We start from the raw sequence: 23,898 nt of genomic DNA, 5'->3' as shown, positions 1-23,898 counted from the left end.
TGACCCCTAAAGTCAGTCTTCACAAATACAGGTAAATGTGGCTGCCTCTGAAAATGTCCCCCTACCACAAGGAGCACACTTTTGGTATTTAAGGCTTCAGATCTTCCCAAACAAGCAGTCCACCCTTTGGTGCCATCCACATAGAAAATGCAAATAATATTAAAAGACATTGTTTAAAAAAGAAATATATTATTAGGCATTTTTTAACTTCCTCACAATTGAAATAATGCAGGCAAATTTTGAGAGATGCGAAGTTGAATAGATATATACTTAATTTCAACAATTATGTTTACCATATCTTGAAGCAAAGTTTACTATGGATTAAAGAAGATACTGGAGGTACTCTGGGCTGAGGGCTCATGGTCACACTAAGTCCCTCTCCCTGGTGAGGCCTAGACAGGGTCCCCTGGGGAAGTGAGTACTGCTCCCAGCCCTCACAGCCCCAAACCAGATGTTGTTCAATCTTGTTCCTTCTCAAATATTATAACTGTATTTTATCATGGAGGCATTTTATTGCCAAAGAGGTATAATTTTTATTTCTACACAGGCTTCTGTGGAGAAAAATGGCTCTTGGCATACTTGGTAAATGACAGTTTGCTGAACTGAAAATAAAGAAACAAAATTTTGCCCAGAGGTCTTTATATGTTCATGTTTACACTGAAAGCAAATTTTAAAACTCACTAATTACCTTCCTCTTTTTATGTTCTCCTACTTTTATGCGAAGATTACTTTAATACAATTTCAACAGGAGAAAATGAAACATCACAAAGAACAAAGATTCTTGGTTAAAATTAGCCTCACTCTCTGGTAACAATTAAGAAACCTCCAACTTTCTCACGAAGATGCCTGTGCTTTCCAGTTAGGGAAAAACTGATAGACACAATATCACATAGGCAGCCGCAGAATTGCAACACAAGTTCAAATAACAGCTCCACCACTTCTTTCTTGGAATGACTTTAGGAAAGACACTTACATCCTCTGAAACTCAGTTTTATCATCTGTAAAAATAAAGTTGTACATATTTTTGCCTCCCCTCTGTTGTAAGAAAGTGAATTAAGATGGTTTACAATGAAAACACAATGAGACGAAAATTTCAACACAGAATGAAACACAGAAAGTCAAGGTGGGAGAAACCCAGGGGGCTGTACACGAAAAAATCTAAGATTAGGAAAGCTAGAGCACAACACTTTGGTGTGAGCTTCCAAGCAGCCCATGCAAAAAAAGAAAATGGATGGATCATGTAGCTGTACTAATTAAAAGAAACATGCCAATTCATGTTTCACACCAAGGGGAAGATTGCTTCTTAGCCCAGGGAGAAACTGTTCACAGGCATAGTCTAAAGGTTAAATGAGATGCTCTGTCTCCTCATACCATCTAGCACCCTGAAGTACTCAAGAAATGTTTGATGGCTTTTGAGTGGACACTATAAAGGGAAGTGGGAACTACATTAAAAAGTTGGGGGTGAGGATTTATTTGTTAACTACTGTTTGGTGGAAATATGTTAACCACTGTTTGGTGGAAATATGTTAACCAGATTCCTTTCTCTGACATTCCTGTGTGTATCAGCAGAGTAAATTCCTGGCATGAGACTGGTTTAATCTCTATAGGGCAGTTGTCATCACTAAATCAAGGGCTCTGCAGGTTGGTCAGCTTATCTGCAAATTGTGGGAAATTCTCTGAGGGTTTCTGGAGCAGGACGGGAAAAGGCATTTTTTTAAAAAAGCTTTCCTGTATATTTTGAAGAATTCAGCAGGTTTAATATTCCAATCCAAACAACTGTACAAAAACTCTGATATTTGCATACCAAATTTAGTTACTGCAAGGACACTGACATTTGTAATACTGATATGATTCCCCTTGATATCCTCAGTCACTGATCACATCTACTTATCCTTTTGCTTTCTAAGTCTGAAGGTTATCTTCTCTGGCCAAGAAGTGGTTGTGAACTGATTACCAAGATGGAAAATCTACTGCAAACCCTCAAGATATAAGCACCCAGGGCCGCTGGCTTTCACACTTTTTCCTCAGAAAGATCATTCTGAACACATGTGGACACTGCCACAGTTTGCCATTACAAATGTAAAAAAATGTTTAGAGAGAGCTAAGTATATGGTGAGTCCTGAGTTGAAAATTACAGTGTGGCAAGCTGTTAATTAGAGCTTGAGTCTCTCCACAATGCCTGCTGCTCAGAGGGACTCATTTGGGGCAGCACGCTGAGCTTTGCATCATGGCCAGCACTACACCACACCTCGGCTCCAGCTTTTCTTAATGCGTCCTGCTGATGATGCAGCAAGGAGAAGCCACCCAGAAACAATGACAGAATCACATTATAAAAACTGGAACTCCCTTCAAAAGCAGCACCCTGCCCTTTGTAAAGATTCTACTTACAAATTTTACATAATGGATGTTCAAAAGAGGCATATGGAAAGATGATGAACGCTTCAACTGTATGCAAGATGAAGTATAGAAATAAGGCAGTAGAGAGGACAGTCGCCTCTAACACTGTCCTGTTTCAGGTGCTGTGTGGCTCTAGGAGGTATTGCTACACATCTTCTCTGATGATTAAAGGCATTAAGTTGGTATGTCAGCTATAAAACTTCCAAAGACATGACATTAAAAAGACTTAGAGAAATAACGCCTTGACTCAGAACTTGCCCGACCTCCCTTCATGTTGAGAACTTTCATAAGCATTTAGATATACGATCCTCTAAAAATACAACAAACTTAAAGGAAAAAAAAAAAAAAACACGGCGGAGTGAAAGATGACTGAGGGAAGAACCTCAGCCCCACAATGGGCAATCTCCTAACCTGTGGATGGGAAAGTCAATTGCACCACCTCAGTGGAAGGCAATCTGACAGTGTCTGTTATTATTTTAATGCACGGGCCCTTTGATCCACATCTTACACTTTCTAGATTGCATATCTAAGAATTTGACCTGCAGATACATTCATACACAGGCACCAAGATGTATCAACAAAGGTGTTCATTATGACTGTGAAATAGAAAACAGGTTTCCTAACTTGTAATAGAGAATCATGTGTCTTTTAGTAGGGGAATGTTTTAATAAATGTTGTCTCATACTTCAGTAACAATGCTGTACCACACACCAATAAAATCGGAATCTCTGGTGTTGGGGCCCAGGCATGGGTATTTTTCCAAGCCCCATAGGTGATTCCAATGTGCAGCAAAGTTTGAGAAATAGTGCTAAAGAACCCTATGCCCAGGGTTACAAAGAAAGTACTAGGTCCATGGGACTGACATGAAAAAAATGAACATATTCAGAATAAAAGACAGAGAAGAAAGAAAGGTTTATAACAATATACATGTAGCACCATTATGTTTAAAAACTGTATTTGTAGCAATATGTATGTACCTACCTATATACGGGATGCATATACTTCCAGAATTGTTTCAAGTATTAACTGAAAGACAGCTGAGGTATTTAACCAAGTGCTTAGCACGCACAAGATGCTCAATAAATGTTAACTATTATTTCCATATGTACCTAAGTTTGTCTCTGTGGAATCTATATGGATTTTCAAGTGGCTAATGAACTCTCCTGAGTGCATGATGCAGGTGACAGTATCCTACTGAAAAAAGGATGTTTGCAAGCCTTCTCAATAACCCCATTAAAACTCTAAGTATACACCTCAATAACTCCTTAGTTGTTATATTGCCTCTTTCATTTAAAATTACAGCTTGCTTTTTGTGCATACTTGAAACCCATGCCCATAAATGCAGACGGTTTCACTGTCAGTATTTTACTCATTTGTACATCCACAAAAATAGTCCATTTAAAAGTTTTTCTATGTTAGCCAACAAATTTAAAAACTTCAATGTAATGTTAGATGCAAACTTCATGAAATACAGAGAGGAAGAATGTTCCCAAGGTTGCAGGGACCAGCTACAGGGATAACAATGGGACAAACTTTTAAACAATGATTTGTTTTGTTTTAAATTCTGTATGTTCCCAGATGTAATTTTAAGAGACTCTGTAGTTCACTAAAGCCGTTATGTCAGAAGTTCTTCAAACGGTCTCAGGGCCAGTTAGAAGAGAACATGGGGAGTTCTACTAATTTTTTCTTTTATTGGACTTTGTTTCAATTATAGTTCTATTGTGGATCAGAAATCATAGGGGTATCACAAATATACCCAAGAACAAGAGATTTTAGTATGTTCATAAATGAATGAAACTTACTACTTGGTACATTTTAAAGATGCAATCAAATATATTTAAAGTTTATATTTTTGTAAGACTGAATTCAATATAATTTCCAAAACTCTCCTCTACTTCCAGGTACTGTAAAAAAAAGTGCATATAAGCCACATTTTATCCTACTTAAGACACTGAATGTGTGGCTGCAGCAATTTTAAAGCTGGTTTCCAGTAATTTTCTCAAGTACATGCTCCTGAAGTTCTATCTTTAAAGGGTAAAATGTTTGGGGTCCTCCTTATCAGTGAATAAAAAAGTCATCACACTGTTTATGGAATAAAATGAAAAATGGTGACTGAATTTACAAGGGGAAAGAGATGGTCTTGAGAATGAGAATGAAGTTATGATTTTTATCAAGAAATATTATGAAATTGAGGTCTGAATGCTAACAATAGTCCTATAAGAACTCTAATTACTTCCTGAATACACTTCCCAAGTTTACTTAGTTGCAACCTAATTCCCTCAAATATGGCCACTTAATATTCATTACAGACAGCTGAAAAGGAAGTCAATGATTTTGAGAACAGCAAAATGATTAGCAGTTTCGTGGTATCTGTCCCAGTGAAATAAAATTGCCATTATTTTGGAAGCAAATATCCACTGGAAAAGAACAATGGATTTTTCTGAAATTGTTACAGACTTCTAGAACATAAGTACACAGGGCTCCCAGGACAAGGATGCCAATGGAACATGCCTATGAAGCTTTGGGAAAATACCTAAGATGCCAGGAATTTGTTCTGCTGTGTTAATAGGCTCCTTTGGCAATTGAATTACAAGTGACTTCCAGAATGACCTAGGAAGAACTGGGTAATGATGTCATTTCCAGGTAAGAGGAAGCCACACAAAAGTAGAGCCTTGAAGAAGTACAAAACTGAGGGATGGGCCAGGCGCGGTGGCTCACGCCTGTAATCCCAGCACTTTCGGAGGCCGAGGCAGACGGATCACGAGGTCAGGAGATCGAGACCATCCTGGCTAACACGGTGAAACCCCGTCTCTACCAAAAATACAAAAAATTAGCCGGGCGTGGTGGTGGGCGCCTGTAGTCCCAGCTACTTGGGAGGCTGAGGCAGGAGAATGGCGTGAACCCGGGAGGCAGGCGGAAGTTGCAGTGAGCCGAGATCGCACCACTGCACTCCAGCCTGGGCGACAGAGCGAGACTCCATCTCAAAACAAAACAAAAAAATGAGGGATGGACTCTCAGGAAAACAAAGGAGTTTCCTTTTAATCTGCACTTTAAACCTGCTTGCCCTATACAAAATAAAAATAATGCACAGACCTTGAGGATGGAGAAGGGGTAGAGGAAATTATAAGACTAGCAGCCAAGAACACAAAAGCACATGTGTTGAGTGTGTAAACTGGTCACATATATAATCTCTTTTCATTAAACAAAGCTAATCATCAACCAAAACAGAAATTACCAGCGGCGGCAAGAAAGAGTGTGTTTTCTCACTGGGGATTCCTCTCCATGTGCTAAATATCCTTGGGAAGTTATTCACATAGCTAAACAAACACTTCTGAAGCTGCAGGAGACAAACAATAAGCAAAGAAAGATCTTTACTGAATTTTAATTACTGTAAGTGGATTACTACACTCTTTACTTAAGCCTGAGTCAAACAAAACAAAACAAAACAAAACAAAACAAAACAAAACAAAACAAAACATCATTCCACAGTCATCAAGAGGGAAATGTGAAGGAAGCTGATACTACCCAACATGTCCTCTCCACCCAACTCTGTAATTTTCTAAATAATTAGGTGTGAACACTAATTGCTTTATTGGATAATTCAAGACAACTAAACACTAAAGAGACTGCCTCTCTTGCAAAATTTTTTCTAAGTGAAATAACATGGAAAGTTCTATTTTAAATTATTACTCCTACTCACTTACCAAGCCAGAGTATTTGGACAGAAGTTAATATTTAGACTTCAGATTCTGAGGAATATTGTTAAACAGGCAAAAGTCATCAGTGGCTAAATACGGGAAGCTTTCAATACAGTACTGCTTAAATGATTTAGGGTACACTCAATTAAAAAATCTTTTCTGGTATGTTAAAGGAGTAACAATATTAAATAACCATCCAAGTTGCACAACATGGTATATGATAAATGTAAAATGGATATACTTGTTTAAACATGCAAAGAAATTATTGAGCATGTGATAAAATAAGATACCAAAACCCATTAAGAGTGGCTCCTTCTAGAGAAGGAAATGGAAATTGCTTTCATTGTAATTCCTTGTTTTTTTTTTTTAACATGAGCTTGGATTACATTTTTTCTCCTTAATTATCAACCTGTCGCTGAAAGTTTAGAGTGGTTTAGCTATTATTTGTTTGTAAAACTAGTCTTTTTAAAAATTAAATTAACTTTCAACCAAGAAGGTGAAAAGCTTGTACACTGAAAACTAAAAAACATTTCTGAAAGTAATTAAAGAAGATACAAATAACATCCCATATTCATAGACTGGAAGACAATATTGTTACGATGACAACACTATCTAAAGCAATCTACAGATTGAAAGCAATCCCTATCAAAATCCCAACGGCATCTTTGGCAGAAACAGAAAAATCCATCCAGGAAGGCATATGGAATCTCAAGGATTTTGAATAGCCAAAACAATCTTGAAAAAGAAGAACAAAGCTGGAGGTCTTGTACTTTCTGATTTCAAAACAGTACAAAAGTACAGTAATCAAAACAGCATGGTACTAGCATAAAGACAGACATAGAGACCAATGGAATAGAACAGAGAGCCCAGAAACAAACTCTCAAATATATGATTAAATGATCTTTGACAAGGGAGACTAGACCATTTAATGGCGAAAGGGGTCTCTTCGACAAATGGTGCTGGGAAACCTGAATATCTGCATGCAAAAGAATGAGGCTGGACCCTTATCTTACATCATACATAAAAATTAACTTAAAATGGATTAAAGACTTAAACATAAGACCCCAAACTATAAAACTTATGAAAGAAAATATACATAAAAATTTTATGACATTGGATTTGAAAATTATTTCTGCTAAGGAATTAATATCCAGAACCCCTACAATCCAACAACAAAAAACCAAATAACTCCATTAAAAAATGAGCAAAGGACTTGACTAGACATTTCTCCAAAGATGACATACAAATGACCAACATGCGTATAAAAAGACACTCAGCATTACTAATCATTAGAGCAACGCAAGTCAAAACCACAATAATATATCTTCTCACATCCATTAAGATGACTACTATCAAAACAAAAAACCAGAAAATAACAAGCGTTGGCAAGGATGTGGAGAAACTGGAACCCTGTACAGTTGCTGGGATTATGAAGTGGAACAACCATTATGGAAAACAGTATGGTGGTTTCTCAAAAAATTAATAATATAATTCTGCATGCTCCAGCAACCATACTTCTGGGAATATATCCAAAAGAATTAAAAGCAGGGTTTTGAACAGATATTTGCATGCCCATGTTTATCACAGCATTATTCACAATAGCAGAGAGGTGGAAGGAACCCAAATGTCATCAATAGATAAATAAATAAAATGTGGTATATACATACAATGGGATATTATTCAGCCTTAAAAAGGAAGGAAAACTTGTCACATGCTACATGGGTAAATGTTGAAGACATTATGCTGAGTGAAATAAGCCAGACACAAAAAGACAAATACCGTATGATTCCATTTATATGAGGTATCTAAAGTACTCAAATACACAGAAACAAAGTAGAGTGGTGGTTACCAGGGGACAGGGGAGCAGGAAATGGGGAATTTTTGTTTAGTGGGTATGGAGTTTCAGTTTTGCAAGATGAAAAATTCTCAAGGTATGTTTCACAACAATGTGAATATGCTTTGAACTGTACACAGAAAAATGGCTAAATGGTAAATTTGAAAAATAATTTAAATAACTTTAATTTATCAACCCTCTTCAACATGCTAGGCACTTTCAATGCACTTTAAGTCCATTAATTATCTCAATTAATCAGAGATAAGCAATGAGTTCTTCAGCGTCTCATTTTGTCTTTCTAGAAACACAGGCCACTGTCAATGAATAGCTATGCTCTGAAAGTAATTAAAGAATGGTTTATAGAATGCTTTCATTTCTGCAATTTTCCACTTTACTACACTCAACTCTACAATTGTTAGTCCTCAAAATGAAAACAATCTGTTCAACTGTACAACACTAATATGAGCAATGACTTTCTTCTTTTAAATTTGTCATCAATTTACAATGGGGCGATGGGGGAAAAGCTACCAAACCATTCACTAGAGACAATTCTGTACATTAATGTCACCCCAATTCATTGCTTAGTGACAGAATGCCAGGTGCTCACTTTCACCTAAATGGTATAATTTAGAATTTTCTTAAATCCATTGTATTTTTTTTGCTACAGAAGTAGATATTACTATCCTTATCTTTAGAACATCTACTTGCTGGGTGGTGGCCCTAGGAATATTATATAAAAGACTAAAAGTGTCTAATTAGGTAATATTTTGTTGGATATTTATTAGAAAGTTTGACTCCACAGGAATAAATTCACTTGGTAATCTCAAGGTCCTGCTACTTAAAGGAAGATTCTAAAGCTACTGAAATAGCAATACATTGTATCCTGTCACATTCATGGCTTCTGACCCAAACTTAAACAAGCAAGCAATACAGTATTGAAAGTATAAATTACAAAAGGGCACCAAATGGAAACACAGCAGCTGATCACAAATGATAAAGGCAAAGGACATGAAAGTTAATGCCAAAATAAGAGGTGGTATGACATCAAAAGAGACCCCAAAATAACAAAGGGAGGAAAATTAGTCTTTGCATTTGAAGGATGCATTTGATCCACGTGAAGACACAGTAGAAAAAATGCTTAACTCCTATACATTCATTTCATGATTTCTACATACATCACCTTTCCCCTGGCCCCCCCGTCCTTTTCCCTTCCCTGAGATCATCAGTTATCTTACAGGTGCCACTTTCCATTCCACAAAAATTATCAACCAGGACAGCCAGTCTTCACTGGTTCTCCTCCTACTCATCACCAGCAAGCAGAGCTGTGACAAATGTTCTTGCTAACCTGGCTACTAGCCTTTATGGATACTCCTCTTAAAAACACTGCCCCACCTCACTGGGTAGTGTCACGTAAAAGCCAGTCCCTTTGTGGAAAAACATGCTGTTAACAACTGCACTTGCTCATACTGGAAAAGCAACCAGGACAGTGATGCCAGATACTTCACCAACCTAAATACACACACACACCACACGTACACATTCACACAGCTGTCAAACTGGTTTTTCCTCAAAAAGGTACAATTGACAGGCAGTTAAGAATCTCTCCCTGCCCCCAACACACACTCCCAGATTCACAATTCTGCATGTGTGTACTAATTTGTATATTTCCATTCATTCATTCAAGAAGGCAGTGGTGTCCACTCCCCTGTTCATTCTTGGTATATAAGGATGAACAAAAGAGATGTGTGCTTTGCCCTCACAGAGCTTATAATCAGTTCACATCCACATACACCCCCGGCTTCTCAAGCCATCTCAGCATTCCAGGAGCTATGTGAGAAAAGAAACAGCATGGGAGTGAGTGTATGTTGTAGAGGGGGTGGTCTGTTTTTCCATCTCATCTTCAACAAGCAAGAGTGAATATTCTGCTTGCTTCAAATAGTGTACTAGTCTGTTTTCTGGCTGCTGATAAAGACATAACCAAGACTGGGCAATTTATTAAAAAAAAAAAAATAGGTTTAGTGGACTCACAGTGCCACATAGCTGGGGAGGCCTCACAATCATGGCAGAAGATGAAAGGCATGTCTTACATGGTGGCGGGCAAGAGAGAATTAGAGAGCCAAGTGAAAGCGGAAATCACCCCCATGATTCAATTATCTCCCACTGGGACCCTCCCCCAACACATGGGAACTATGGGAGCTACAATTCAAGATGACATTTGAGTGGGGACACAGCCAAACCATATCAAATAGCAATTTAGTCTACCAGTAACTTCCATGTTCCCTTAAATAGGGAGCATCAAATAGAAAGAAGTAAAAGGAAGCAGAGGGTGATATCTGTGCTCTTGAGAAACAGGGACATACAGGTATCCCTGGGATGCTAATGTTTGGAACTTCAAACAAGATGCCAGATTTCCACTTCCATTCCATGAAGGACTAACTACTATAGGAATTGTTCTCCCACTACAAATAATTAATAAACAGGCAAAATATATGAAACAGCTGTATTCAGTCACTGGACAAAGGTACTACAGACCAGTGATTGCTGAGAGAAAGGAAACATCCAGTAAGGCAAACCCTAGGATTGCCCTTACTCCAGGCTGTTGTGCAGAAAGAGGAAATCCAAACCAAGTTCAAGGGTCTTGTTGAATTGAGGGATCAGAGATAAAAGTTCAGAGAATCAGAGGCAGCCATAGCTCTTGATATCTGTAAAGGAGTCACCTCAAATTATAGGCTGAGTACTGATCTGCACATGGATGTGGGGCTCACTCAGGGCTGGAAATGACTGGCATTTCCACCAGCCTGAGTAGAAGAACCTTGTAATACATAAACATCAGGAAGAGTATTCAAAAGGGTCCTAGACTCAGGCTGCTCTAGAAAAAGCTTAAAGGCAGTCTAAAAAGGATCTGTGCACCAGAACAAAGTCCAACACTCTTTAAAGAAAGTTCTTCAGGCAGAAAGAAATTGAGACCAAACAGAAATCTGGACCTACACAAAGCAGTGAAGAAAGCTGGAATGGCTGATCTGTCGGTAAATACAAAACCAGATACTGCCTGGACTCTGAATTTCCCTAGCCACTTACCTTTTGGATGTGCTTTTATAGGAATCCACCGATGACACTAACAAGGTCACAGCCCAGGATCAAAGTAGTTCCCAGCCCTACCACTAACTATCCCCCTAACTTTGGTGAGTCTCCTTAAAATCTCTGAGCTGCGGTGTCCTCAGAAAAATACCATCCCTTATTGTCATCACATTATATAATGAATATGAAAGTGCTTTGAACTTCAAGGATTCGTTCTTTCATCAAATATTTACTGAGTACCTTCTACATATATTTCTAGGCTCTATATTCTGGCAGCCCAATTTTCTCATCTGTAAAATGAAAATAATAATAGTACCCAGCGGCTGGGCACGGTGGCTCACACCTGTAATCCCAGCACTTTGGGAGGCCGAGGCAGATCACGAGGTCAAGAGATCGAGACCATCCTGGCTAACACGGTGAAACCCTGTTTCTACTAAAAATACAAAAAATTAGCCAGGCGTGGTGGCGGGTGCCTGTAGTCCCAGCTACTCAGGAGGCTTAGGCAGGAGAATGGCGTGAACCCGGGAGGCAGAGCTTGCAGTGAGCCGAGATCACGCCACTGCACTCCAGCCTGGGGGATAGAGCGAGACTCTGTCTCAAAGAATAATAATAATAGTACCCAGCACACAGCGTTTTTGTTCAGATTAAATAAATATCTGTAAAGTACAAATAATAATGTCTGGCCATAGTAAGCTCTTCTATAAGAGATCAGTCACTGTCCAGGGGATGGAGTGACTTGATTGGCAAAGCCAATGCTATGTGCCCATCTCTGGTTGTGACATGTGCCCATGTCTGTTGTTGTTGTTGTTACTATTATTATTATTCTACCCCTGCTGCTGCTTCTAACACTGCTACTAGGCATATAATAATGGAAAAGACCAATTTGGTTCTTGCCTTTAGAGAGATTATATTTGAGATCTATCATAAAGAAAATAAAGCTTTTGGGATAATTTGTTAAATTTTTTCCTGAGAAAATGTGGGATAGCTGGAAAAAAATATTACTAGTCTAAAGGAAAACCTAGGCTCTAGTCCCAACTCTGTTCCTCTTAGTAGCTCTGTGACTTTAGTTAAGATACATAGCCTGTTTGAACCTGTTTATCCTTAAAGAGGCAGGATGAGAATCTTCAAGGTCTCTTCCAGTTTTAACACCTAATGAAATAAAAGATAATCCATTTTAGAAGCACATTGTTCCTGCCTTGATTTGAGCAATTTAATCCTTACAGCATCATATCCTTGTATAGGTAACAACAAATTTTGAGGAAGAGGGGGAAAAAAAAGAGAGAGAGAGAGAGACAGTTTGTGATTTAAGAAAGCCAGAAGAAATAAGCCCCGGATCTAGGATTAGTATAAAAGTCTACACGTAACTCCCAAGTCTAGAACGAAGGTCACATGATTTATCCCTCTTAAAAAGAGTGTCATAGCCCAATTGTTTCTATCCAGTGCTGAGTAAACCAATTTGATCTTTGATAAGTTAAATAATATAATTAGAAGACACAGGGAAGCTCTTCCTTCTGCTTCCGATGTTTGAATTGGGTGCAGTAGAGCAGAATTAAGGAGCAAAATGGCAGTACACAATAGAAGTTCCTCATGCAGAAGAAATAACAAGAAATATGTAAACAGCTAGTTTCTTCTACCCTTTGTTTATACTAGCATGCACCACAACTGGTAAGCTATCAACTACAAACACAAAAGCTCCCACAAAGTAATTAGTTCAAACTTTAAAAAACACAGATAATTTTAGCCAAGTCTCAAAAACCAATGTTTTCCTTTTCACTCTACTTAATTCGGAAAGAGGTCCCACTGGAAGAAATAGGAAGTATCTGAACCATATGGCTGATGTTCCAAAAATAGTTGTGAAAGGACCTTTTCTAAAGTTTTCCCAACACTTTGCAGAAGACAAGCCAGACCTTGCAGAATTTTATAAAGTAAAAATCCCCTAGTAATTTTATTGGAGAGAACATATTGTATAACAATAACTCAAAAAAATGTTTTTCCTCTACATACATACAAAATGCAGTATATGATTTCAGGAAGTTCTCATTCCGCCTGCAGTACACCACAGGCCTCAGCAGAAGCACACTGAGATTAAAGTAATACACAACCATAACATACTGAAGACATCTTTGAAGCACATATGCATGTACACACATATACACACACACAGTAAAATATTACAGCCAGCTGTATCTGTCTTTGGGAACTCTGATCACTAGCTCTAATGGACATGTCTCTTACCTATTTGCCTACTTCGCATACCTATGGGAACTAGTCCATCTCCTTCACCATGTGATTCAGTAAAGTGGTTAACCAAATGGTTCTGCCTCTCCATCCAGAGATGGACACATGGCATTGGCTTCGCCAATCAAGTCACTCCATCCCCTGGACAGTGACTGATCTAGGGATGGCACACAACACAAAGACGACCAGAGATCTTTATGTGGCTGGATGCCGCAGATGAGAGGGTGCCTCTTTTTTGCCTGGAATCATGACATATAAGCACCATATAATACCAGAAATTTACAATAGTTGCTTTTTCCACCATGTGTCAGAAGCTACCCCAAAATGAAGCCAGCATAGATAAAAGCAGAACTGAGAGATGGGACAAGGGAGATGGGGAGTGAGGAGGTTTTGATGACATCATTTAACTACTAGATATACTGGGCCTCAGTCAAATACCCCTTGAACTTTCCATTGAGTGATTCAATGAACTTTTTTCCCCTTTAAGCCAATTCCAATGGGATTTCTGTCCCATAAAGATTTGAAGAACCCTGATTCATGGTCCACTTGACTAAATGAGATGGGAACTAACATTTACTGAGCACCTCTCCAAGGTCAGAGACTATGTGGGACCTTCAGCAAGCATCATTTCAGCTAATTTGTATATGCGTGATAGGAAGATATCATAGTTTTACAATAAAGAAAGATCTCGAGAGATGAAGTAATAATAAAAATCCATAGAACTGGGGGCGGTCAGCAAGGACATAAACCCTACCTGTCTCATCTCAAGCCATACCCCCCTCTAGCCACAATCTCACATCTTTCAAGCTACAGCATTATTATTTTCCAAGAATCAAATTAACAGTGAACTGAAAAATCGAGCCATAAATCCAAACACAAATGTCTTGTTTTACAGAAGACTGTATTGGTTTTACTGTTCACAAATTGACATGAGTAATGTAACACCTCCTTTCTCAAAGGGTTCCCATTTTGGAAACAAATTTTGCCAGATTGACTTTCCAGGAGTCTTAAATAAGCCTATCAGGGAATCATTCCTTGGAGCTTGGAAGTAATTCAAGTTTCGGTATGTATGGTGCTAAAAAGATAAAGAAAAGTCGCTAGAATGTAAAAGTCATTATTGTTGCTGAGCAGGGAGCTTTTAGAAATAACATTACTCCTCGTCCTGGCCCCCGCCCTGTCATTTTCTCAAAGATGGCCACAATCTGAAACTTTAGCCATTCACGTCCAACTCCATCCACAGCAGAATTTGAGAGAGACAGACTGTGTGGTAGGGAAGGAATATAACAAGGATCGGGGTGGGGGCGCGGTGGGGAAGCATACGACAAAACACAACGTAAGAAAATGTCAAGAATCTAAAAATTCTACCATTGAATTTGTCAAAGAAAAAGGGCACAGGTAAAAGAATCAAGCTAGTTGGGGCAGGGGAGGAAGAAACCGATGGAGAACCTGGACTAGGTAAGAGCGTGGTGAATAAAACTGAGTGTTCTGCTCTTGACTTAAAATTCACTAGCTACACCTCTCTCTTTTTCCATCTAGAAAAAAACTAGAGTGACAATAAGGAGACTGTGTTTAAGCATTATAATCATTTTTTGCAAGATTTGGGTGTGACAGGTGGAACTTGAGGCCCTATTTGGGTAGCAGCCAATTGTCCTAATTATAGGTTGGATTACTTATTTTATATAACCACAAAAAAAGTAAGTGTTAGCACCATAGGGCATTACCCTGTTTCACAACAGCATAATAGTATATTACCTTCATAAAGTAATTTATGGGTTTCTAAGTACTTTTGTGTGCACAGTATCATTTTATTTTCCCAACAACCCTGAGAGAAAAAGAGAGAGGCACAGGCAATCAGATATTGCTTTTATTTCTACTTTACAGCTGAGTAACTATCTGAGCACTTATGTGACCTGCATAGGGTCACCCACTCCTAAGCAGCAGAGCAGGGACAAATTCATGCTGTCCTTTTTTCGATATTCTGCATTGCCTGTCAGCCAGCCCATCTTAGAATTATCTAATAAAGGGTAGCCTTAGGCTCCTTCTCTGAAAGTCTCTGATGCAAGAATACCATTCAAATTATCTTTGAAATAAATGATTACCATGTGTCAGCGATACATTTAATGGTTTTAAGAACAATATGTTATACTTCCAGGAGGTGTCTAGAGACGCAAAAAAAAATATTCAGAAGTAATATTATAGTGTTTCATTAGGTCAGTTACAGCTTTACTCACTCTGTTCATCTGAACAGTCAGTAAGCCGCTACATGTCAGGGGTTATACGTGAAGGGTTAGGAATACAAAATTGAATAAGCTATACTCTGTTCCTTTCAAAAATCAAGAACATAAGAAGAGGCTGAACTGCCCCTGATCACAGTAAGTACAAGTGCTATGGGAACACACAGAAGGAGGAACTGATGCTATCCAGGACTGTCTCCAGAGGGTGGGAAACAAAAGAAATCACACTTAGTTTCAGTTACTGTGGAGCTGACGACCTAGCTGAGGAGAGACTCATGAACAAGGCCACCGTACAGAGCAGTAACTACAAATGCCACAAAAGAGTGTTCAGTACCGTAAGGGTTCAGAGGACATAAGGGCACTTCCAATTAGGATGATCTCAGACGTTTTTTTTGAAAAGAGGGAAATATGAATGAGGCTTTAGAGGACTGCTAGGTCTTAGTGGAGCGGAAGGCAAGGGATTTGAAAAGCCACAAAGCCAACCAGCCACTCCCTATCTCTACTGAGAAACATCCTGAGAAATTCTTGAGTTGTCTGTGGATCTGGGACAGACATTTACCTCGGATCCCCTTGAACTTTCTCTCATTTACAAGGTCATGAAGACATCTCATTTTAAAAAAACATAAAACACAGAGGAAAGGCATCCAAGACACTCATTTTACCATGACCTGAGCCATTACAGTAACCTGAATCATTTGTGCCTCTACTATTGCTCTCTAAATGGCTTCAATGATGGAAAGATCTGAGGGAGCAAATATCCTGCTCTTCAAAATTATCATTTATATCCCCAAGAGCCATTCTAAATAGAACATTTAATTTTGAAGGAGAAGCAAGTTATGAATATATCATCTAAAAATATGCCAAGAGCTTCAAAGGAATATATGGGACTCACTGGAAAAGTGAGTCCAGAGACTGTTCCCACTGACCTACTGGCTCCTGCTTTGGTGAGTGCTGTGGAAAGTAGGGAGAAGATCCAGGGACTAGCAGTTTTTTCGGCTAACAGGAAAGCTCAGACATGTGGTAGTGTCTTATTAGATGCAATAAGGCCTATATCAATCCTGGCACAAAATATTTTATAAATTCAAGTTTTCAAATGTAGGCCCAATAGCGTAAATATCCTTGAGTTTATTCTTCCTTCATTAGAAAAAGTATATGACAAAATGCTCTATGAGGTCAGATCACTTCATTTTCTAAATTCACTTCTTATGTAAATTATTCCACATTAGCCTAAATGCAATCCTATATTGTTTAGCTTGCTCAGGGGTGGTCAAAATACACTTTTTCAACTTTCAGTTCTTAGAACTATTTCTCTTGGTATTTCCACAATCCTGCAGTACTTAAGTGCTTGATCAGTATTTAATTTTTCAACAGCCTCTAATATGTATTCCACCACCTGGCGGGATGTCTCTCTTTTGGAATGTTTCTATCTCCATCATGCTACAAATAGTTTTCACTATACATTCTATTCTGACAGAACAAGAATAGATGTTCACATTTCCCTGGCTGAAAACTAAATGAACTGAGCTTGTAATCAAGACAACCACTCTTCCAATCCACCCTTTCCACATATATTCCAGCACGTGTAGGTTAAAACTGACTCTATGCTAGGGGTGTGCAAATTGCGGCCCAAGGGCTAAATGCTAAGTGCCCCCTCACCAACAGTTTTGGTAAATACAGTTTTATTGGATAACAGCTAGGCTCCTGTTTACATATTGTCTGTGGCTGCTTTCCGAGTAGTTGTCTCAGAGATCTTTTAGCCCCCAAAGCCTAATAAGTGTACTACATAGCCCCTTACAGAAAAAAATTGCTGATCCCTGCTCTCCATTAAGTACATGAAACAAGAGAAGTTTGGGAAAGTTTTCAAAACCACTTATATTACAAATAAATTAATTAATTTATTCTACAAACATACACTGAACACCTTTGGGCACTGTTCTAGGTGTTGGAGGCCCAGCAATGAACCAGACAGATGAGCGTTACCCACCCTGAGTCATCACAGAGGTCACAGTTTAGTGAGAGGAGACAGACAAAGATAATCACTCTAATTTCAGATGGATAAAACAGGATATTTAGAGAGCTTGGCCAGAGATGCTAAAGGAAGAGTGATTCTTTAGAAAATGCAAAGTCATGAAGATAACATCTGGGAAGATGGCACTGAAAATAATATTTAAACGACGACAAGAAGACAGCCATGCAAAAATCTAAGAAAAGAGTGTTCCAGCCAGAGAGCAAATGCTTGAAGGGAGAAAAGGTGAGGCATGCTCAAAAACAAAAAGGCGGCGAATGTACTTGAAGCACAGTGGACAAGAGGAAGAGGCAAGAAGCCAGGTCACAGGGCTTAGCAAGAGCCAGACCATGTGTGATGAGTAACAGAGAGCATTATAATTCTAATGATTTCCCATCTTCAGGTCCTTAGTTATTAAACAAAACAAAACAACACCTACTAGATAGAAAACTAGTCATTCTACTACAACTTCTTCCCTTTGATCTGCTAAAAATTACCTGAAGATTCAAATGCCTAGCAGCTCAGGAAAGAACACTATTAATGACACTTCATACTAAAGAGGCAATTCTCCAAAAATAAATAAATGAATGAATAAATAAGTAAATAAAGTGGGTTGGGGGGAACAAAATTTAGGGCTCTTCTCATTATAAAGCCATGGAGTAACCATTTAATATGGGATTTTTTTTAAGAAAGGGAATTTCCCATTATTAAGCATATCAAGTCTATTTTCCTAAGTATATCAAGCTATTCATTTGACGAAGTGAGGTCTGTCTCCGCTCCACCTCTGTGCACCAGCTGCATGCGTGTTCCACCATAACTCTTTCAAAGCAATTGGCTGGTTTGGATGAAATGCAATATATTCACATACCAGAATCTTTGGGACACAGCTAAAGCAGTGTTAAAAGGGAAATTTATGTAACTAAATGCCCACATCAGAAAGCTAGAAAGATCTCAAATCAACACCCTAACATCACAATTAAAAGAACTAGAGAAGCAAGAGCAAAGAAATTCAAAAACTAGCAGAAAACAAGAAATAACTAAGATCAGAGCAAAACTGAAGGAGACAGAGACATGAAAAACCCTTCAAAAAAATCAATGAATCCAGGAGCTGGTTTTTTGAAAAAATTTAAAAAATAGATAGACCACTAGCTAGACTAATAAAGAAGAGAGAAAAATCAAATACACACAATAAAAAATGATAAAGGGGATATCACCACTGATCCCACAGAAATACAAACTACCATTAGAGAATACTATAAACACCTCTATGCAAATAAACAAGAAAACCTAGAAGAAATGGATAAATTCCTGGACACATACACCCTCCCAAGACTAAACTAGGAAGAAGTCGAATCCCTGAATAGACCAATAACAAGTTCTGAAATTGAGGTAGTAATTAATAGCCTACCAACCAAAAAAAGCTCAGGACCAGATGGATTCACAGCTGAATTCTACCAGAGGTACAAAGATGAGGTGGTGCCATTCCTTCTGAAACTATTCCAAACAACTCAAAAGGAGAGACTCCTCCCTAACTCATCCTATGAGGCCCACATCATCCTGATACCAAAACCTGGCAAAGACACAACAAAAAAAGAAAACTTCAGGCCAATATCCCTGATGAACATCGAGACAAAAATCCTCAATAAAATACTGGCAAACCAAATCCAGCAGCACATCAAAAAGCTTATCCACCGTGATCAAGTCGACTTCATCCCTGGGATGCAAGGTTGGTTCAACATACACAAATCAATAAATGCAACCCATCACATAAACAGAACCAAGGAAAAAAACCACATGATTATCTCAATAGATGCAGAAAAGGCCTCTGATAAAATTCAACATCCATTCATGCTAAAAACTCTCAATAAAGCTAAAAACTCTCATAAACTAGGTATTGATGGAAGACATCTCAAAATAACAACAGCTATTTATGACAAACCCATACCAATATCATACTGAATGGGCAAAAGCTAGAAGCTTCCCTTTGAAAACCAGCACAAGACAAGGATGCCCTCTCTCACCACTCCCGTTTAACACAGTATCGGGAGTTCTGGCCATGGCAATCAGGCAAGAGAAAGAAATAAAGGGTATTCAAATAGGAAGAGAGGAAGTCAAATTGTCTCTGTTTGCAGATGACATGATTGTATATTTAGAAAACCCCACCATCTCAGCCCAAAAACTCCTTAAGCTGATAAGCAACTTCAGCAAAGTCTCAGGATACAAAATCAATGTGCAAAAATCACAAGCATTCCTATACACCAATAGACAAGCAGAGAGCCAAATCTTGAATAAACTGCCATTCACAATTGCTACAAAGAGAATAAAATACCTAGGAATACAGCTGACAAAGGACGTGAAGGACTTCTTCAAGGAGAACTACAAACCACTCTGCTCAAGGAAATGAGAGGACACAAACAAAAGGGAAAACATTCCATGCTCATGGATAGGAATAATCAACATGAAAATGGCCACACTGTCCAAAGTAATTTATAGATTCAATGCTATTCCCATCAAACTACCATTGACATTCTTCACAGAATTAGAAAAAAACTACTTTAAATTTCATATGGAACCAAAAAAGGGCCCACACAGCCAAGACAATCCTAAGCAAGAAGAACAAAGCTGGAGGCATCATGCTACCTGACCTCAAACTATATTTCAAGGCTACAGTAACCAAAACAGCACAGTACTGGTACCAAAACAGACATATAGACCAATGGAACAGAACAGAGACCTCAGAAATAATGCCACACATCTACAACCATCTGATCTTCGACAAACTGGACAAAAACAAGCAATGGGAAAAGCATTCTCTATCTGATAAATTGTGCTGGGAAAACTGGCTAGCCATATGCAGAAAACTGAAACTGGACCCCCTTCTTACATCTTATACAAAAATTAAGATGGAGTAAAGACTTAAATGTAAAACTCAAAACCATAAAAACCCTAGAAGAATACCTAGGCAATGCCATTTAGGACATGGACATGAGCAAAGACTTCATGATTAAAACACCAAAAGCAATTGCAACAAAAGCCAAAATTGATAAATGGGATCTAATTAAACGAAAGAGCTTCTGCATAGCAAAAGAAACTAGCCTCAGAATGAACACGCAACCTACAGAATGAGAGAAAATGTTTGCAATCTACCCATTTGACAAAGGTCTAATATCCAGAAAATACAAGGAACTTAAATTTACAAGAAAAACACAAACGACCCCATCAAAAAGTGGGCAAAGGATATGAACAGACACTTCTCAAAAGAAGACATTTATGCAGCCAACAAATATAGGAAAAAAATCTCATCATCACTGATCATTAGAGAAATGCAAATCAAACCCACAATGAGATACCATCTCTTGCCAGTTAGAATGGCGATTATTAAAAAATCAGGAAACAATAGATGCTGGCAAGGCTGAGGAGAAATAGGAACGCTTTTACACTGTTAGTGGGAATATAAATTAGTTCAACCATTGTGGAATAAAGCATGGTGATTCCTCAAGGATCTAGAACCAGAAATACCATTTGACCCAGCAATCCCGTTAATGGGTATATACCCAAAGGAATATAAATCATTCTACTATAAAGACACATGCACATGTATGTTTATTGCAGCACCATTTACAATACCAAAGACATGGAACCAACCCTAATGCCCATCAATAATAGACTAGATAAAGAAAATGTGGTACATACACACCATGGAATACTATGCAGCCGTAAGAATGAGCTCATGTCCTTTGCAGGGACATGGATGAAGCCAGAAGCCATCATCCTCAACAAACTAACACAGGAACAGAAAACCAAACACCACATGTTCTCACTCATAAGTGGGAGCTGAGCAATGAGAATACGTGACACAGGGAGGGGAACAACATACACCAGGGGCTGTTGTGGGGTGAGGGGCAAGGGGAGGGAGAGCATTTGGACAAACACTAGTGCATGCAGGACTCAAAACCTCGATGACAGGTTGATAGGTGCAGCAAACCACCATGGCACATGTATACCTATGTAACAAACCTGCACATTCTGCACATGTATCCCAGAACTTAAAAGAAAAAAAAAAAGAGAAAATTTTAAAAAAAGAAAGAAAAAAAAAGAAATGCAATATATTCCTCTGAAACCTGTAGAGACATACTACATGGCTTATTTTATCATTCCAAACTAAACAGAAGACTGTTTCAGGGTACAGAATTTCAACATGTTGGTGAACAGCCACCATATCCATCTCCTTTGTTAATGTCCTTGCCCCTCTGATTTTTTAGGGGATTTATGAATCTGAAAAGACAACTTTGCATTTTTAGATTCAAGAATAAAGGAAGTCAAAGGTCTTCTGCAGGAAGGCTAAGACAGAGAGGTTCTCTGATAAAACTATGACTCTCAGTGACCAGTATACATTTAGGAAGAACCAGTAGTTTCGATATTCTCTGGAGGTGTGACATCCAACTGGCCTTGACAATGCTTGGATCTGCAGAACAAGCTCTCCTCATGGTAAATGCTGTGTGGTGACAGGTATGGGTGTTTATAACCAGACTTGAATAGGCTATAGAAAAACAAGGTGAGAAATATGCTGAAGTGCCAACCTTTAAGCAGCAGCACTGCTGGAGAAATCCAGGGCACAACTTCCCAAGAGAATTAACTTGCTATCTGTTTCCTCTCTGTAAAGTGGGGATAAAATAGTACTAGCTCTCAGGCTGGAGCATACTTTACTAAGTTCTCAACAAATAGTATATTTCTCAAATGTGCCCACCACTTCACATGCTGAGTCCTCATAAAATTACCTCCCAAAGACTCCACCTCCAAATACCATCACACTGGGATTAGGATTTTGACATAGGCATTTTGAAAGGACATATTTAGTCCACTGCAGAGGTCCACTTATATGCTTTGGTAGACCTCCTCGGTGTTGACCAACAATATAGTAGCTAAAGTTTGTTAAGCACATACTGTATGCCAGGCACTGAGTTCTTCCAATGGATTCCTCATCAAGTTCTAACTACAAGCCGGTGATGTGAGTTTTATTACTGGCATGTTATACAGTGAGGATCTGAGGCCCAAAGATTAAGTATACTGCCAAGGTTGCACAGATAATGAATGGTACAACTGAGATCTGAACCCTGGCTGTCTGACTCTAGAGCCAACGTCTTAATCACTAAACAAAATACTTCCCTTAAAAAATAATAACGTGTTTTTAAATGTGGTTTTATTAATTGCCAAATAGCTCGACTTTCATTCGCAAGCATCAACAAATCTGATGCTGAGTTTGCCATGGTCCCCACTACTCCCTACCCTTTCTTAACTTCAAGGGTAGGGCTCATTCACCATTTTTCATCATTATTGCTTGCACTTTTCCTACTTAGAAAAATTTGAAGTAAAATATTTCTTGTGCTTACATCTGTATCAAAGGTGGGGAAATATAAGATGTTAGTTTGATTTAATCGTTCTACATTGTATACATAAATCAAAACATCACATTGAACCCCATAAATATATGCAATTATGATTTGTCAATTAAAAATATTAAGTGGGAAAATAATATGCTGTGCCATATGTTTGAAGAAAAAGGAAGTGGAAATGAATATATTCTTGTGTGTTTAATAAACAAAGTAATATGTACTTTCCTTCCCATGTTCAGTACATCACCTGCCTGCTTGAAATATCTGAATTTGATCTGTCTTAGTGTCTACATAATTTTAAGCAGCATAAGACATTGACAGCAAGTGCACAGTTGTTCAACAGAGAACATTTTTAATTCTGGCAACAAAGATAGTGGAACGAATCCCACATGCCATATAATAATGCTTACAAACTTTTTATTTTTAATTTTTATGGGTATATAGGTGTACATATCTGTGAGGTGCATTAGATGTTTTGATACAGGCATGCACTGTGAAATAATCACATCATGAAGAATGGAGTACCCCTCCCACCCCTCCCCTCAAGCATTTATCCTTTGTTACATTCTTTCAGTTATTTTAAAATGCACAATTAAGTTATTATTGACTACAGTCACCCTGTTATGCTGTCAAATAGTAGGTCTCATTCATTCTGAGTTTTTTTGTACCCATTAACTTTCCCCACTCCCTCCAAGCCCCCCACTACCCTTCCCAGCCTCTGGTAATCATCCTTCTACTACTTTCTAAGTCCATGAGTTCAACTGTTTTGATTTTTAGATCCCACAAATAAGAGAGAACTTGCAATGAATAATGCTTTTTATATTTACATAACTTAGTAGTCTCTGGTGAATTTAATTAGTATCTGTTATATTTTTTAAGTATTTAATTTGTTTGGATAGAAAGAAACCCAGCCCAGGAAGAGGCTCCATGTTAACCCCGTGGCACACCAATGCCTCCTGGGTAAGGGAATCCTAGCTTGTGGGGGGAAAAAAAAAAAAAAGCCTCTAAGCATCACCCCCCT

General features: G+C 38.4%; 1 protein-coding gene across 4 annotated transcripts in view, besides 1 other annotated feature; it reads right to left on the bottom strand.

Moving 5' to 3' along the window:
- DAAM1 (dishevelled associated activator of morphogenesis 1) overlaps positions 1-23,898 on the bottom strand; it is a 182,739-nt gene that overhangs the window by 117,224 nt on the left and 41,617 nt on the right. The gene's annotated exons all lie outside the window — the stretch shown is intronic.
- Positions 13,632-13,711: a silencer, noted in NCBI's record as "silent region_5805". NCBI's record gives its function as "represses an Ori minimal core promoter by ATAC-STARR-seq in GM12878 lymphoblastoid cells {active_cell/tissue: GM12878}" and the evidence as "EXISTENCE:reporter gene assay evidence [ECO:0000049][PMID:35858748]".

This window comes from Homo sapiens, chromosome 14, assembly GCF_000001405.40.
Source record: "Homo sapiens chromosome 14, GRCh38.p14 Primary Assembly".
Lineage (NCBI taxonomy): Eukaryota > Metazoa > Chordata > Mammalia > Primates > Hominidae > Homo > Homo sapiens.
This window is presented reverse-complemented; position numbering and strand designations above follow the sequence as displayed.